Here is an 18,231-nt window from a genome sequence, read left to right as displayed (position 1 = left end):
AGCATTTCCGAACGTGGTCTTGAGGAATCCTGGGCCTATTAGCAGCTTCACAGACAGAAAATAGGGTGCAAATCCTCCATGAGCTGCTGAATTCAAGCATCAAGTCCAGCAGTACGAATCGCTTGAACCCAGGAGGTGGAGGTTGCAGTGAGCTGAGATCCCGCCACTGCACTCCAGCCTGGGCAACAGAGAGAGACTTTGTCTCAATAAATAAATAAATAACAAAAAAGAAGCAAACACATTTTATTTGGTGATGAAGAATCTTTCCAAAATTCCCCAATCTACCTGACAATTTACTACAGATGAACACTCTGGTGGGGTCTTCCTTTAAAGAATGAGGTTTGTATAAGGCCTCTGTAGCTGCTCTACCCTGGGCCCCAGGGATCTCTGACATGCCCAGTAGATGGTGAGGCAGAATAAATCAGAAAAAAGTGCTAACATTTGGACTTGATACATGCCAATGCCAGAATATCTCACCACGGTGATTCTGCAATGCAAAGCTGCCATGAGCTGTTGCACAGGTTTTGCACTGCACAAATCTAGGGGCTGCCTATGTATTATGTAAATGGAGCCCTCAGTGGTATACAGGGCAAACCTACCCAACCACACATTGCATCTCTGACCATTAAGACCTCTGATTAGTTTGTTGGTGTTTGGTTTTTGTTTAATACAGATTTCTGGGCCCCACACCCAGGTCTTAAGCTGGGAATTTTTACTCATATGATACCCCTGGTGTGTATGATGCAGGTCATCTGCAGACCACCGAGAAACTCTCCTAGAAATGGTTATGACTGGATTTTACAGTAACTCCAAGACAGGAGCTGGTATCCCTAATCTTCATTCCCTTCTCCGAAACAGAAAGAATGAAAAACAATCGTAGGAATTCAGAGCCCTAGTGAGCCGACTCTCTCAATGTGTTTCTGTTATGTCCTGGCAAAAAGAAGCAGCTAAATTCTGGATCCCGAAAATAAGAAGTCAAAAGTTGCCTAAGTATGAAAGAAATTCTGTTGTCTAGAGCAAGGGGATGGTCTTCATTTCAGGGGAAACCCTAGAGTTGGCAAAACCCCTTCAAAATGATTCAGTGGGAAGGTGACTGCTAAGCAGAGGCCCACGCACCCCACTGCACAGAGATGGCTGCTGTCTACAGTCACCAGGATTAACTGCTTGCTGCCTCAACTGCTCAATATGCTTCAGTTCAATCTGCTGGAGGATTTTTTTTCTCCCTCCCAGATATATATCTTTGACTTCCTAATGGAGGCCAAGTGGAACTAGGATTTGTTTCACAGTCATTTTGCTTAATGCATCCTTATCCATATGAGGGGAGAAAGTGTGTTATCATGTTTATCCATACAAGGAAGGATGAACTCAAAGGGTGTCTAAATTTTCTAGTCATCTGAGTCATATGTCCCTAACATACACAACATGTTTCCCCCTTCCGCTGCATCTCTGTTTATGACACTTCCCTGGAGGAGCATCCTCAGAACCCTCTCTGCTTCTTTAAATCTTTTTTCATCTTTTCCAGGCGCCACACAATTGATATTTCACAATAAGATATTCCCAGATTTATCCCAGTGAGAGTTAACTGCTCTTTCCTTAGCTCTCCAATTACACAGTGCCCCTCAGTCTTATCCCAATCTGCCTTGGTGTGTGGCTGGCCAGCTGTGTACATGCCTGTCTCTTTTGCTAGAGCATAAACTCTGTCTGGGTAGGGCTTGTGCCCAGGTGGGCACTGAGGAAATGTGTGCTGAAGACAAGCATGCCACATATGACTAAATGCAACTTTTAGTGATGTGGCAATATGATAGGGTCTCATTAGTTCATATTAATTTGAGGAGATCTCAATTAATGAGAAACTGGGGTAATTTAAAAGAGCAATAGCAGCCGGACGCAGTGGCTCATGCCTGTAATCCCAACACTTTGGGAAGCCAAGGCGGGAGGATCACAAGGGTCAGGAGACCAAGACCACTCTGGCTAATACGGTGAAACTCCATCTCTACTAAAAATACGAAAACAAAATTAGCCAGGCATGGTGGCAGGTTCCTGTAGTCCCAGCTACTCGGGAGGCTGAGGAGGGAGAATGGTGCGAACCCGGGAGGCAGAGCTTGCAGTGAGCCAAGATCGTGCCACTTCACTCCAGCCTGGGCAACAGAGTGAGACTCTGTCTCAAAAAAATAAATAAATAAATAAAAAGAAAAAGAAAAAGAGCAATAGCTTATTTAACTTAGAAAGTCAGATAGAAACTCAAATTAGCCCAAGAGTATTGCTGAAGAAAGACCTTACCTTCTGAATCAGTAAGGATGAATAAGTAAGAACATATTAATTATAGCTTATCAGTTAGGCAACAGCAGGTTCTCTGGGCTGCTTCACTTAGGCAGTCAGGCCTATGGATTAAGAGCTAGCATGTAAAGTTGGCTCGACCTGGGCTTTAGTTTTCACTAAACCACATACCAGCTGCAGGGCTTTGGGCCAGCCACTTAACTCTCTAACCCTCAGTTTTCTCATCTGTAAAATGGAAATAATAATTTCTTCCTCCTAGGATTATTATGAAAAGAAATTATGTCTGTAATGCATGTCCCACTGTACTGGGCACATTGTAAGTGCTCAATAAAGGTCACTTGCCATTATCATTATTATTTAATCTGTGAGAGGAAGAGATTTTCTAAATTTAAGAACAATTTTGACCCTACTCTGTACCTGTCCTGAAAGGTTGGGGGTAGGGGGAGGGGGGAAACAACAACAACAACAAAATAAAACCTCATCAGACTGTCAAGCCTCAGGACCCGGATGTCAAGGACTTACTATGACCTGCTCAGCCAGTGGGGCAGGCTTGCAAAGTGACAGCTGGCAAAACAGTCCCCGTACACATTTGTCCCATTTTCCAATCACTAATACTCTCCAGAAATCAAGGAGATTAGCCCCTTTTTCCAATGCCCTCATGAGTGAAAACCAAGAGAATTAGAGTTGGCTTCACCCAAACACAAGCTCCCAATATGCAGAAACTCCAGCAAGCTAGGCTCAATTTCATAGAGACCCAAGTCCCCCCTCTCCTCCCCAGCCAGCACATTTTAAAGACACAAAACCAATCAATAGGGAGCATTCAGAGAGTTGCTGCCAGTGGCTAGAAGAGAATAGATACCAAGAAAGTCATAACGATGATAAATCCGGGCTCCGCTCCTCTCTGACTAATGTAGGCACTAAAACACACCATGAATATCCTGCTTTGAAACGTGTCACGCTTCTGAGGGACCAATCAATCTCTGGCTCTCGGTGGACCACATTAAAATAAATTTGTCACTGTGAGTTTATGAAATATTGATGGTGTTTTTTAGTCACGGTGTTAGGAGGTGGAAAGGTGTATCTGAAGAGGGAGGCAGGGAGTGGGAGAGCTGCTTTAATGAATTATCTCCAGGCTAAGAAAGGAAACATATGCAGAGACTGGAGGAAGATGAAGCATGGAAGAAAATACATTGGCGTGGAGAGCAAAAAGCTTCCAGAATGAGAAAGTCCAGAGCAGTGATGTCTGAGCTGTGTTCCAAAACACACAACTAAATGGCTACTCTTGGGAGGGACTTGGGCAAGAATGGGGGTTTTCCTGGTAAAATCTGGGAAACTGTATACTCAATCCAAGTCTTGGAGAGACAGGTGCACAGTAACATGTTAAAAGTTCTGAGAAGTCCTGCAGTGCAAAAGCTCATTTAACTTTGTTTAACCTAATATTTCCCAAACTTATTTAACATGGCAAAACAAACACCTTACTGAACACTAAAGTTCTATGTAAACCAGTTTGGAGATACTGGCCTACATCCTTGCAACGCAAAGTGTGGTCCATGAACAATCGGCATCATATCACTTGAGAGCTTGTTAGCAGGCTCCGTCCCAAACTGACTGGATCAGAATCTGCATTTTAACAAGATCCCAGGTGATTTATGCACAGTGAAGTATGAAAAGTGCTAGTTTAAGTGACTCACCAGAGAAAGAAGACTATACAGGACAAGCTAAGATATGCCTGGTAATGAAGGGCTTCTGTTTGTAATCCTGACCATGGCCTGCACAGCAGGACCCAGGGGACTCTATGCCCTCATCCAGCATTGGGGCTGTTTACCAGCTGAGCATTCACTCGCACTGGCAGAAACTCAGAAGGCATTTTTAAAATCAGGTATGCAGTGACCTCTCTTGAAACAAGTGGAAATTATAGACACCCAGTGGTCTTTTCGTATTTGCAAAACCAAGAAACAGAAATACCTCCACCCGCGCTAGAAAAGCTGAATTCAGGTCATCAGCCTGCCCAAACCTCACCAGAAGCCTCAGGCTTGTCACTTGGCCTCTAAAGACATGTACCCCAGTGAGAGTTAATACTCTATTCTCAGCTCTTGATTTTATCACAATCTGCCTTGGCACATGGCTGACCAACTCTGTACATGCCCGCCTCTTTTGCTAGAGCATAAACTCCTTCTGGGTAGGGTCTGTGCCCAGGTGGCCACTGAGGAAATGTGTGCTGAAGGCAAGCATACCACATATGACTTACTGCTGGTATCTGCATGTGGAAACTGAGGTGAAGAAAGCCCAGGGATCTCAGCCAGACTACTACTTCTGCATAACAGGTGGGCGCTCAGACTCTGCAGGGGATGGACACATCCCAGCTCCACTGCTTACTTAGCTCTGTGACTTGGCAAGTGACCTCACCTCTCTAAGCCCCAAGCCCCAGCTGTCTTGTTCACCTTTGTATTCCAGTGCCCAGCACATGTCTGGCACATAGAATCACTGAAAACATGCTTGATGCATGAATGAATATACTGTTGAATCTGTGCAGTGGGGACATGACTATTTCCCACCTTTTAGCGTTATTGAGAGAATTCATGGAATTGGGTCAGGAAGGTGCACATCGCAGACACTCAAAACGAGTCTCTGCCTTATTTATGTATTGGACAGTCCCATGTGGATGACAGAGGGAATTTTTAAGTTTTTGCTTGTGCTTTGGCAGCGTGAAGAGAATCTGATGCTGGGCTTTGTTAATTAGTGATCAGTTCTCTGGTAGATCAAGGAGGCAGAACAGGATTCTGCTCCCTCTGGTGGCTTCTGAACTTCTTTGTTCCTCAGAATTGCCCTCTCCTTTCCCAGAAGGGAACTGGTGGGCAGGAACCATGCCACACCCTGCAGAACAACTCCCAAGGCCTCTTGACCTTGGTCCACGGACCCTCAATAATGACCCTGACCCTGGAGGTCCGTTTTGGTCCACTGACCCTCAAGAATCTCCACTGACCCTGGAGAGTCAGCTGGGGAGAGTATCTGGTACTTTTCCTTCAGCAGCAAAAAAAGTGTCAAGAAAGCAGCTACTGGCACCCATGGAGGTGGCTTTCTTCCTTCTTACAGACCACAGGGCCAGGACAGGACCAAGGCTCAACACACTGCTGGACTCCTCTGCTCCCTCCGCAGGTGTCTGAGCACACCCAGCTTCAATCCATTCTTCCCTTAAACCCTCAGCTAATTACTCTGAGTCTCAGTATTCTCCTCCATATAATGGGAAGAAATGAGGTCTACCTAATAACGTTGTGATGAAGATTAAATGAAATAATGCCTGTCATTGATTATTGATTTTGATCAATGGATGTTGGGCTCAAATGAACCAAGCACTCAAGAAGTGGTATTAATCATGCAATTGGGTATTGTCATTTTAAGGATTCTTTCTGACATCAATACATGGCAAAGAAGACATGCAACAAAGTTTACCAAAGGAAAGAAGGAAGGATCCAATACATCAACATAAAACAGAATATACTGTTTGAGAAATAGAAATAAAAACAGTATTAAAAACTAGGAATTATTCAGTGTGTACTACATAACCGGCAAAAATGCTAAAACCACTTAAATATGCTATTTCATGTAATCCTTAAAAATAATCTCATTAGATAGGCATTATTGTGATTCCAATTTTAGAAATGAAGAAACTGAGACACAGAAAGGTTAAGTAACTCACCTAAAGCCACACAGCTAGTAAGTGGAGGGGCTGGGATTCAAACTCACGTCTTTCTGACATAATAAAGTAAGCCCTGGGCCACAAAGTTATATCACTCAGTTCTTTAGAACAGCTAAAACTGCATCCAATCACTGTCTCTTGTACCAATCTAAAATCAGTGCCCAGAAGACTCAAATTTTACTGGAAAACAAAAGGGAAGCCAAGTGTCCTGAGACTGCTAAATTCCACCAACCACCAGACAGCTCTCTACAACAAAGAGTTAATTGGCAGCTGTGAGACTTGAGGCAGGTGAGTAAATCTTTCTAAATCTCTCTTTTTTTAATGGCGTACAGAGTCATGGTAAAAATTTGGGTAAACTGTCTAGTAAACCAGCCATGTTCCTGCATGTATTTCCAACGCCAGGAGCAATGGTGAGTTCCTGGGATACAAGGACCAGCAGAGCAATCTCCTTTGCCTGGCAACTTCACAGACCAGAAGGAGGAGGATACTATTGTGACAGCACAGAGGATGGAGCAAACAACTGTATAATGATGGAGAGGAGAGTGCCATCAGGGAAGGCTACATCTAAGAGGGCTCTTAAAGGGTGAATAGGAGTTTTCCAGGTGGATAAAAGAGCAAGAAGCACTTTCAGGGAAGACTGTAGATATGAAAGTGTTTTATAAATGGTAAAATGTGATTGCATTTGCCTCAATAACTGGGCAACACCATGTCACGAACAGACCAGTTTAGCCTATGCATCCAGGTTTAGAAACCCTTCGTTGTCATCCATTGTGACCTTCAGCCCCACTATAAGATTCATTTCCATAGTCCCACTACTGAAGTGATAGGATTTCTGACACACTCCAGCTGTGTCACCAGGGAGGAAGGTTATGCTGGTTAGTTAAGCAGTAGACAGTCTCCAGCAGTTAAGTGACAAAATCAGCTCAACCAAGTGACTGTCATTATATTAACACTCCAAGTAAATGACTAACTGACTGCTTGACTTTTCAACCAAGCATGCTGCAACATCTTTACAGATTGCAGATCTATTTAGCCACCTCTGTGCCTGAAACCCTTAGAAGGCTCTTTCTGAGAAGTTTCTACATGAGCCATAAATGTGTGCAAAAGCAAAGGAGAATCAAAGCGGTCCCTTGATGATCAGCTGCACATGTGCCTAATACCCCAACATGGAGCTTTGGTCAGGTCAGAAGAGAAGTCCAAGAGACCCAAGGCATGGAGACTGAGCCCCTGCCAGCTGGTAGCTGGGGCCTAAAGTACCTGGAAGAAGTAACTGGCTGGTACCTGGAAAAAGTCAGTCCAGGAAAATGTGTGAGAAAAATGGCAATATCTGTAGACTACAAAGGACCTGTGTTCTACCAACTAACTCCTGGTAGTAGATTGTATTATTCTTCAAAATATTCACTATCTTTTGCAGGGAAAAATTCTATGTCTTCCATCCCACTTAGGGTGGATTTGGCTATGTGACCTGGGCTGACTCTTCTTAGGAGAGGGTTACATAGCCACTGAGATTTGGGCAGTGTTTGTTACCACAGTGGAACTTAGGCTGAGCTGATATATCCACCCCGGCTCCTGGAATTAATTTTTGCAAAGAATGACTGTGAGCATTTTTAACATACAGGGATGCCACCCCTAGTAAAGAGGCAAGGTCCAAAGAATTTCCAGGAAATGTTCATCAACTTCTCTACACTCAGAGCAGTGGTCCTCAATCAAGGTCTATTTTGCCCCCATGAACATATGACAACATCTAGGGATATTTTCAGTGGTCATGACCAGGAGGCTGTTACTGGAATCTAGTGGGTAAAGACCAGGGATGCTGCCAAACATTCTACAATACACAGGACAGCTCTCTACAACAAAGAGTTATCCAGCTCCAAATGTCAATAGTGCTGAGGCTGAGAATCTCTGCCTCAGAGAGAAACCAGGAAAGGGGTAGAAAGAAGTGGGCTATATATCGTATTTAACAGCAAGAGCATGTAACATCTACATGCCATTATTGAATTTACAAAGTGTTTGCTCATACATTCTTTCACTTCATGTTTATGATACTCCTGAAGGATTCATATTTTTATCCTATCTCATCAATGGGGTAACAGAAAGCCAAGCAAAAATCTTACCTAAGGGCATATTTGTAAGTGGAGGGTCAGAATTCTAGCCCTGTCTTGCTACCCTACTTCCCTACCATGTTTCATTAAACCAGAGCTGTTTACAATGTCATTTCCTCCAGGATGTTAATCAATACTCTGTCTCTCATTCAGGGGCAGTGTCTCAAAGACAGATTTGGTTAATTTCTAAATCTTTCTAATCCCTTTGAACATGGGGTTCAGCAAAACAGACATACTGCTTGGTTCATTTGTTTTGATAAGGATAGCTTTGTTGTAATTATTTATGGCAATATCAAGTGCAAACTAATCAATTACCCTGGTACATCTTGTCAAAGTAACAATGCCTTGGAGAAGTCTCTAAACTACTGACCTCTTAAATCTTTGCTGAGAAGTGGAACAAAACCACGGCAGGGATTCTTGGTGGAAAATCAACTATTGCCCAACCAATTAGCCAACCCACAATGCTGAATGCTCTCTACTGGAGCATTCCAGTGATGCATGAGTTTTCTTGCTGCATGGTTCTAATCAACAAAGGCTGGTAAAGAGAAAGGCATATCAACAGTGGGAAAACTGTCATCCAAAAATACCAGTGCAAGTCAGACAATTTCCAAAGCAAGTTGTGCAGTTCCTATTGAGGTCCCATAGCTCATTTGTAGAGAGAACAAAACTAGAGACCATTCACATTAGTCATCTGTACCCTACCCATTGCCAGGGCTCAGACAAACCTTCCAAATCCATCCAAAGACTTCTCACTACTAATCCTGACAGGTAACTATAGCCTAAAGGCTAGAGAGAAGATAACAATGATAGACATGAATCAATAAGTATTCTTATATTGGCATATGGCTAAATATAATTCTTCATCAATATAATTATCTATTACATTTTACAGTGATTATTGTGATTATTACTGCACTTGGAAGCTGCTTTTATGGCAATGTATTAATCTGGTAGAAATTAAAGAACTGAGTGAGAAGTACACGAAATATGTGTGATCCCAGGAATAGATGTGAACGTAAACTTTTTAAGCTACCTATTTATGACCTTAATTTCTGACAATAATTTTGACACAAAGTAATAAAAAGGGACAAGGTAGAGTAGACAGAGCCCATTGGATGTGGAAAACTGATAAGACGTTGGGGTCTTCCATCAATTTCTTGTAACAGTACTTAGCCTCTTGCAGAGATGAATCCACTAATTTGCATAGTAGATGAAGAGCCTGCTCTGTAGCAGATGCTCTTGACATCCTGCCTAATATCCCCTTGGCCCACCTGGGTTACCTGCAGTGGCAGATGGAAACATTTCCAGGACACTGGCACTTCCCACCTCTAATGCCTCTTCCTACGTCTTTCTTCTCTGCCTAAGGGCTTTATCTATCACTCCTTGAGTGTGTTGACCTGCTGCAAGCACAAATGTCCCCAGAAGCAATCTCCAAATGATGGGGTAGAGGAATCAGTGGATAGATGTCCCAGCCTCCCCCCTCCAGTGGGAAGACTTTACAGTGTATACCACACACTATTTCAGTGGGTCCCCAGCAGAATTGACCCCAAGTGGCCCACAGCTATAATCTTACACTCACCAGCATGCCACTTGTTTGGCTTGTTTGGCTTTTCTCCTCCCCTGTTCTTCTTTCCCTACTTCTCCATTTTCTGGGATCATCCTCCAGATAAACAAATGAGCTTGCATCCAACTCCTCCTCTCAGAAGGATGTGAACTAAGACCCTACCCTCCTATAAAATAAAAACAGAACTCTAATCCTCCTTGAGGTTCAAGGATATTTTTTTAAATGTATGATAGACTAGGGTGAACTGGAATAAAGCCAGGGGGCAGGGAGGAATCATGATCTGGAGAACAAACGCTGAGAAGGAAGAGACACAAAAATAAAGAGGCCAACACAGCCTTGAATGCCTAAGGGATGAAGGGAGTCTGCCTCCATGTAGATGGATGAGGCTAATTCCAGCCTTCCACTTGACCTAAACTTCCCCTTCCAGCCCAATTGGTTGGGCAATAGATGATTTTCCACCAAGGATCCCCACCATGGTTTTGTTCCACTTCTCAGCAAAGATTTAAGAGGTCAGTGGTTTAGAGACTCTCCAAGGCAAGTGGAAGCAGCAGCTGCTACCCAGTGTTTATTACTTCTCTTTAGTTTCCTCTAAGAAAACTGCCTCTCTTCATTGTGCATATCTTTGGTGGGAGGGTTATTAGAGGTGACCACTTCAACTTTGGGACACCAAAGAGAAATGATCCTCCTCCTTCTAGCCCAGTACAGTCAGGAGTAGGGGCAGGCTTGTGGAGGAAGGTTAGAAGGCTTACACTCTCCATGGGGACTTCTAATCTAGGGAGAAAAAGGAAGAGGTGGAAAGAAATGGCTAGAGTCCATTCATTGCTGCATAGCACAGGGGCCCCAACCAGATCCTTCTTTCCATAAAACAATTGCTGGGAGTCCCGATTCATATATCTACAGAGCTCTTAGCTAGCCTGGTCCATGATGCCTAACAATTCTGAGATCCCGAACATCCTGCCAACAGATTTCCTTTCACCTAAATGCAGTGAAGTTTCTTTCTGTTTTTATAACCCGGAATCTTAATTGTTATTTGCATATTTGCAATATGAGCATTTGGGGTGGGAAGCTGTGTGGGGGCGGGGAGGGATAAGGAAGTAGGGAGAGCGGAAGGGAGGTAGGAAGTAGGAAGGGAGGGAGACCACTGAAAAAGTTTTAAAATCTAAGAATAAGAACTGGAAAATATTTTTGGAGCCTGGACGGTTTTGCAATGAGACATTCATCAAATGAGCATAAATCAGAAGGAGGAAGTGTTCTTTGTCCTTGTCACCTCTTGGAACCATTATTGCCTGGATAGTTAAAGGAGATGCACCTTGAAACCACTAGGAACACACAGCTGCAACAGAGCCTTCAAATTACAAAGTCCCAGTGCAACTAACCACAGCATACAGCATCCAGCATCCCATAACAAAGGAAAGTCCTTTTACTCACTCCACAAGAGGGATGACAGCATCAGAGCTGGGTACACGAATCCAGTGTTAGGGTCCACACCTGAAACAGCTACACTTGGAGGTGGCATTGCTGGTAGCACTCTCAGGGAGATAAAACAAGATGCTGTAATGTCAGGGTGTGGCGTAGTCATCCCAGGTTTATCTGGAAAAGGAGAGAATGACAACAGGACTGATTTATGAACACATGGAAGCTTCTCTAGAAATCCCCCAAGCCATTTGGAAAGCAGAAGCATGGAAGAGACTGACCTTTCCACAATCAAGTAGGTGGGATTTGGAGCTTCCCAGCTCTTTACTGCAACTGCATCCAGTGGACTAACCAAGGCAGAGTATTTGGGTCAATGTCAAAGGCAGAGTTCTTGAGTAAAATGCCTGGCCCCCCTGAACTTCAGTTTCCTATTCTATAAATTATATCACCATCTATCTCATTAGGCTCTTGTAGGGCTTCAGGGAGATGACATATATGTATTTAATAATACATATTGTTGTTGATATATATTGTTGTATATTGTATATGTTGTTAGAGCCTCATCTCAAATATGCACTGAACTAAATCTTAGATTAATGATTTACATGAAAGAAGGAAACAGAAGCTCAGACAGACGGGGCTGAGAATGTGATGCATGCCACCCCAAGATCACCAGGCTGAGCCAGATGACTTTATGAGCTGGACAGCAAACCATCTTTCATAGCTGCTCCATTTTCCTCCTTCCCAAAGCTGCAGTCTCATTCAAAGAGGATTCCCTCTCCCAATAAAGGAGGCCTGTTCTGCTATTGAGGTTAGGGTAAGGAGCTCTGTGCCAAACCCACCAAAAACTCAGCTCAGCCTCTGGGAGAAAACTGAAATCAATATTGATCTAATCACAGAATTCACTAAGAATAGAAGCGAAGAAATAAATTTCAAAAAATATTGATAAACCTAACTATAAAAATTAAAAATTCAACAACATACTGAGAAAAAAAAAATTCCAACATGTATGATGAAGAGTTAATATCCTTAAGGTTACGGGTTAGATCACTCTTAAAAGCAGTAAGAAAACAAACGCTGAGTTAGGGAAACATGATCCACGGACAGACAGAGAAAGTTCATGTAAGAGGAATGATAACCAGGAGCAGTGGCATGCACCTATAATCCCAGCTACTTGGGAAGCTGAGGTGGGAGGATCACTTGGGCCCAGGAGTTCAAGGCTGCAGTACGCTATGATTACACCTGTGAATAGCTACTGCACTCCAGCCTGGACAACACAGCCAGACCCTGTCTCAAAAAAGGAGGAGAAGAACCATAAATTACAAAGATTTAAAAGGTTCATCCTACTAATAATCAAATAAATGCTAATTAAGACAGCAATGTGATTTCATTTGTAATCTATTAAATTTGCAAAGATTAAAGAAACTCAATGTTGGTGACAGTTGAGCAATCTAGGCACTCATCGATTGCAAGTGGGAGTATAAATTAGTACAAATTCCTAAAGGGTAATTTGGCAATCTGTATCAAGGATGCTGAAAAATTATTCATGCCTACTTAACAATTTTATCCTAAGGAAATAATTAGAAATGTGAACAAATATTTATTCACAAATGTGTTCATCATAATATGACTTACGGTGGCAAACAAATGGATCAACCTGACTAGGAAACAACAAAGAAATTAGTAAATAGCATATGGTTCACCCATATTGTGGAATATTATGAAGTCAATAAAGAACATATTTTGGGATACATTAAAAAACAGGTTACAGAACAATATATAATATGACCCCACTGTGTAAGAAATGAAATTATATTTACACATATTGTGTATGTATAGAAAAAGGACTGATGTTTTCTACTCCAAAATGTTTGTTGTGGTTACCCTTAAGAAGTGGGATTATAAAATTAATAGAACTTACACCTGCATGATGTTAGCGGCAAGAAATAAGGAGGACTGATACATGGACCCAGTCAGATGGAAACTCAGAACCTTCAAAATGCAGGATTTTTTCTTAATGAGACTCTGACCTCATGAGACTGTAACATTTGGGTTACATAAATTTAAAAATGGATAAAGGGATATGAAAGTAAATATGAGGGAAATTTTTAATTAATACAGAAAATACTGCACAGCTATATACCAATGGTCTTGATTTAAAAAAAAACCTGTAATTTCCTAGAAAAATCACAATGTTATAATGACCAAAATTAATTAAATAATATTAGGAAATCTGAATACACTGATTCTGATGGAAGCTCTGGCCTATAAAGTAGGAGGCAGAAATAAGTGGTTAACTACTGAAAATAAAGAATCAAAACAGGTATCATTTGCAAATGTTATTACTGTAAATTTAGAAAACATAATACAAGAATTTGATAAACTAATGAATTTATTATATCTCATTAGATGACAAGATACAAAATAAATGTATATAAATCTATACTTTCCCAGACTTTCACTGACTTTTATAAGTGAAAAATATTCAATCCATAGTAGCAAAGTCATTGAAAATTACTCAATTACTCAGTGCTCAAAGAGCAGTTACCCTTAGTATCAGGGTGCCATGTTGTTTTTCCTAATTCTAAGCTCTGTATTTTAAGAACTTTAGAAGTAACATCATCATCTGAAACATATTGAAGAAAACCAAGGTTTTGTCCTCATTTCCTATTTGATTAAACTCAAGCTTTTGTTTTTTCCCTTGTTTTGAAATTCCCTATTAATGAAACTCGGACACTTGGAAATCAGCCATTGCTTTCCTTAGACCTTATGTAAATATCTGAGTGGTGGTTCTCCAGGACATAAAAATTGGTCACCCAGGCTCTCCCATCTTTGAAACTTCAGCAGTCTATTGCAATGTCAAAGCAATAACAACACTGTCACAGCTCATTCTTCTACCTGTGGCTAGAAATTGTCTTTTGGCATTTTTTTGTGAGGTACCTTCTGAATTCAAAGACATTAAAACATGTGAGACAGGGAAGCATGCATCTTGGAATTAAGGAAGGGGGTTATCCTAGAAATTTAACAAACATGATCAACTTATGTAAGATCCTATGAGTAGAAGAAAGGGAAATCAAATCTGGTTGCACCTACCAAACCAGTGACGGGGATATTTTGTGATAAAGATTCTGGTGATAATATTAATGATGTTGGTAACAGGGAAGAAAATTGATGGGGAGGAGTAGAGGTGAGTAAAGAAATGGTCATGGATAAGTAGCATTGGGATGGGTGTGGGGATAAGAATAGGAACAGAAATGAGTGACAGTAGCCATTGGGATGGCCATGGGAATGGGAGATAAGAATAGGAACAGGAATGGATGACAGTAGGCATTAGGATGGGAGTGGGAATGGGAGTGGGGATAAGAATAGGAATGGGAATAGGTGACAGTGGGCATTAGGATGAGTGTGGGAATGAGAGTGGGGATAAGAATAGGAATGGGTAACCGTGGGCATGAGGATGGGTGTGGGGATGGAATCGGGGATAAGGATAGGAATGGCAATGGGTGGGCATTGGGTTGGGAGTCGGGATGATGAAGAGGAAGGGAAAGCTGAGCACACAACATACACATCATTACTATTAGGGTAAAGTATCTTCGTGGATGTGTGAAAGGAAGGAAAATCTCTCCATATTCCTCTCTTCTCCCACTTAAGGTATCACGGATGTGTCTAAAGGAAACGTTAAGCTTCTGATGTTTCTCCCTAATCCTCGGAGCAACGTTCTCAAATCAGACTCCTCTCATCCCAGATGACCCAAGAATGCTTGCTATTTCATCTCTTTCTAAGAGAACTTCTGATCCAATTCCAATCTGGTAAATAGGTTAGTCTTGTGACTTGCTGTGTCCTTGGCCTCAGTTACACCCACCAGTGGTGAACATATAAGTGAGTGAATATCATATTAGGTCACTTTCAGAGACATTAAGTAGAAGGAAAGCTGAAAAGCCTTGTATAGACTTTAGATGCAGGTTATGGGGAAGAAGGACATGGAGGAACCTTCATTTGACACATGTATTCCAGCCCTGTTCTCTGCGTTTTGCATACACGTTCTCATTTAATTCATCCAACAACCCCCTATGATAACATACAAATATTCCCACTTTACAGATAAGAAAATTGAGACTCATAGCCTCTCTTACTCAGCTGTTTACCCATGGAGGCAGGAACCAAGACAGTTCTGCACAGCCGTCTATCCCCAGGATCTAACCCCTGGCTGCCACATAGTAGGTACTCAGTGACTAATCATAAAATTAGATATTGCAACCTAAGGATGCCAACTGCCAAATGGCAGAGCCAGGACTCCCACCCAAGTCTGGCCCTTTCCTGTGCTATTTTTCCAGTACATAGTTGAGGATTTTAGATTTCCTTGGGTTTTCAAAGGAAATTCTTATGAAACTAAAACTTTCCCTGTGTTGCCTTTCCCCTCTGGAAGCATCTTGGGATGTTTTGAGGGGAAAGGCAAATAGGGAAAATGAAATTGAAGAGCAGGAGCCACTCCAGACATGACGGAGGTCCCCACAAATATTCCCCGTGGGCCTCATTACACATTTGAGCAAACATTACCTTCACTCACAGCTAAATTTCCTGTTTGCTTGGCTGATCAATTCCTCATCAAATTTTAATGCGGGGTTCAAACCATCTGTGGTGTTTTAATTAGGCCTAAGATTGCAAAGTGTCTGAGGCAGGGCTGAGCCTCATCCAAATCCTGCTTCCCATTGCAGTGTTGCCAGGAGGGGTGGGGGGCTGAGCAGAGCTGGGCTGGGCCAGAGCCAGACACTCGGCAGACCCTGTTCCTAGGTGCACTGTGCTCTCTAGTGGTGGCAATCTGCAGAGAAATGGGCTGTGCAGCCCCAGGGGCTTGGAGCCCTCTCCTGATTCCTTCCAATCCCTGAGAGTGTATAAGCTGCCTTGCCTGCTTTCCTGCTGCCTCTCTTCCTTTCCTACAAAACAGAGCATCCTGGTGGCCTTATGGAACTGACAAACACTAATCAACACAACTAGTGTGCCTGGTGCTATGCTAGGAGGCGACAGAAGAAAAAGACACAAGACCTGCCTTCAGTAGCTCATAATGGAGAAGACAGTTGTACATACAATTTGACATGATGGATGGTGTGGCTGGGACATATATGTGACACTGGTGATGGGTGCCAGGAAGACAGACCCAGTGCTCAGGTCATTAGAGGGTCTGGTGGGCCTCCAGAACATCAGAAACCAAAGTGGTTCTTTTCAGAGCCAGAGGGTGAACCAGGTAGTCAGGACATAAGGATATTGACAGACATTGATCAAAATAGATCAATGGATAGATCTCAATGTCCAACAACCTTCCCCCCTTCACACCCACTTCTCCACGTTGACCCTTCCTCAGCTCAGATCTTCAGGAAGGCTGCCCCAAAGCTTTGCTGCTGCCCCTGACAAGATATATCAGGATGTCCAAAACTAACCACCTAGAAACTGTGTCCTTTGGAAGGCCTCCCTCCTTGTCCAGACTGGGCTACTTGCAGTTATAGTTCATTTGCACTTTAGGATAGTCAGTGTCCACTACTATATTCAAGGCTCTGAGAAGTCCTGAAGAAAAGGAAGCTGGATCATTTTGCTTAACACTGTGTCCTACAGGCTCCTTTGTATACAGAACACTAGCTAACACCTTCCTCTATCTCTAATGCTTTCTGATCTATGCCCTCCACAAGAAGACCTATGCCTGGTCTGGACTAGCCACAGTTTTCCTAAGGACGACAGTATGAGGTGAGTCACAAAGTGCCCAACATTATCACCAATAGTATGTCTAAGTAATTTTTAATTTAATGTCCAGATGCTGTCAGTCCTGAGAGCAAAATGCAACTTGATAAAGGACAGCTCTGATGGGGACCACATAAAAAAGGCTGCCCAAGTTCAACAGAATAGTGAGAAGAAACGGAGACCTATTTGAAAGATCAAAGATTGATGCTCTTATTAGATTTGGGGAGGAAAACAGTGAAATTCATGTTTGATTGAAATTACTAATGTTTCTAATGTATTTACTGATAGTAGAATGTAATTAGCTGAATTCAGTGGCTTCCAAACTTGGCTGAGTGTCAAAATCACCTGGGGCATTTTTTAATTGTGCCAGTTCCTGGGCTCTATCCCTCAATACTCTGATTCCATAGAGCGGAGGTACTGCTGATGCTGCCAGTTGCAAGAACACATTTGAAAATGATTGCTACAGTTCACTATTTCCCTCAACTCTGTTCTGTGAAACACCAGCTCCACAGGATAATAACACATCTTACCCAAAACAGTTCCATGTTAATAGTGTTGAGCTCACAGTGTGTGCCAGACACTTTGCTAAGATGGGGGTAGAGATGAGAGAGAGAGAGTCATCTCGCTTGATCCTCATACTCATCCCCAGTAAGATTATCTTCTAACTTTCTGGACAAGGAAACTAAAGTATAGAGATGGATGGCTTGCCCACGGTCACACAGTAAATAGTACCATCCCTTGACAGGCCAACGATGATGTCCCACTGCTAGCTGATTGGACGGTGGTGTCATTCACTGAGATGAAAACAGGAAATGAAGCTGTTATGGGAATAAACGGAAGAAGTTGGTGTGTTTGGTTTCAGACACTCTGAGTTTGAGGTGACTATGAGATATCCAGGTAGAAATGTCCACCAGGAATTAAATACATGGGCTAAAGACCACAGAGAAGATTTGGACCGAAGTTAAAGAGCTGAGAGTTGAGGATGTTTAGATGGTAGTTGAGACCATCCTGGGCCTCCATTTCCTCTTTCCAAAATGGAACATATCAGTTATCATCAATATGCCTTACATTGGTTCCTCACTAAGTTCAATATAGAATTACCATATGATCCAATAATTCCACTGCTAGTTATATACCCCCAAAGAATTGAAAACAGGTGTCCAAACAAAAATTTTTACACAAATGTTCATAACAGCACTATTTACAATAGCCAAAAGGTAAAAACAACACAAATGTTCAAAAACTGGTGAATGGGTAAACAAAATATGGTCTGTTCATACAATGAAATATTATTCAACCATAAAAAGGAATGAAGTACCTATGCATGCTACAACATGTATCAGTGGATGATAAACGTTGATGAACCTTTGAAACATTATGCTAAGTGATGGCTGGGCACAGTGGCACACACTTGTAATCCAAGAGCTTTGGGAGGCCAAGAAGGGAGA

The 18,231-nt window shown here is 42.3% G+C and overlaps 2 long non-coding RNA genes across 2 annotated transcripts in view; one reads left to right on the top strand and one right to left on the bottom strand.

Annotated features, from left to right (window-relative positions):
- Positions 1–6,068: 6,068 nt before the first annotated feature.
- Positions 6,069–17,036, top strand: LINC01734 (long intergenic non-protein coding RNA 1734). The gene is made up of 4 exons (NR_027124.1): positions 6,069–6,262; positions 14,705–14,870; positions 15,155–15,270; positions 15,999–17,036. It is a non-coding gene; the product is annotated as a long intergenic non-protein coding RNA 1734 (long non-coding RNA).
- Positions 10,779–18,231, bottom strand: part of LOC107985448 (uncharacterized) — a 90,007-nt gene continuing 82,554 nt past the window's right edge. The window contains exon 3 of the long non-coding RNA XR_001754587.1: positions 10,779–11,230. This is a non-coding gene — a long non-coding RNA (uncharacterized LOC107985448). The remainder of the gene's footprint in view (positions 11,231–18,231) is intronic.

Source organism: Homo sapiens, chromosome 20 (genome assembly GCF_000001405.40).
Source record: "Homo sapiens chromosome 20, GRCh38.p14 Primary Assembly".
Classification (NCBI taxonomy): domain Eukaryota; kingdom Metazoa; phylum Chordata; class Mammalia; order Primates; family Hominidae; genus Homo; species Homo sapiens.
This window is presented reverse-complemented; position numbering and strand designations above follow the sequence as displayed.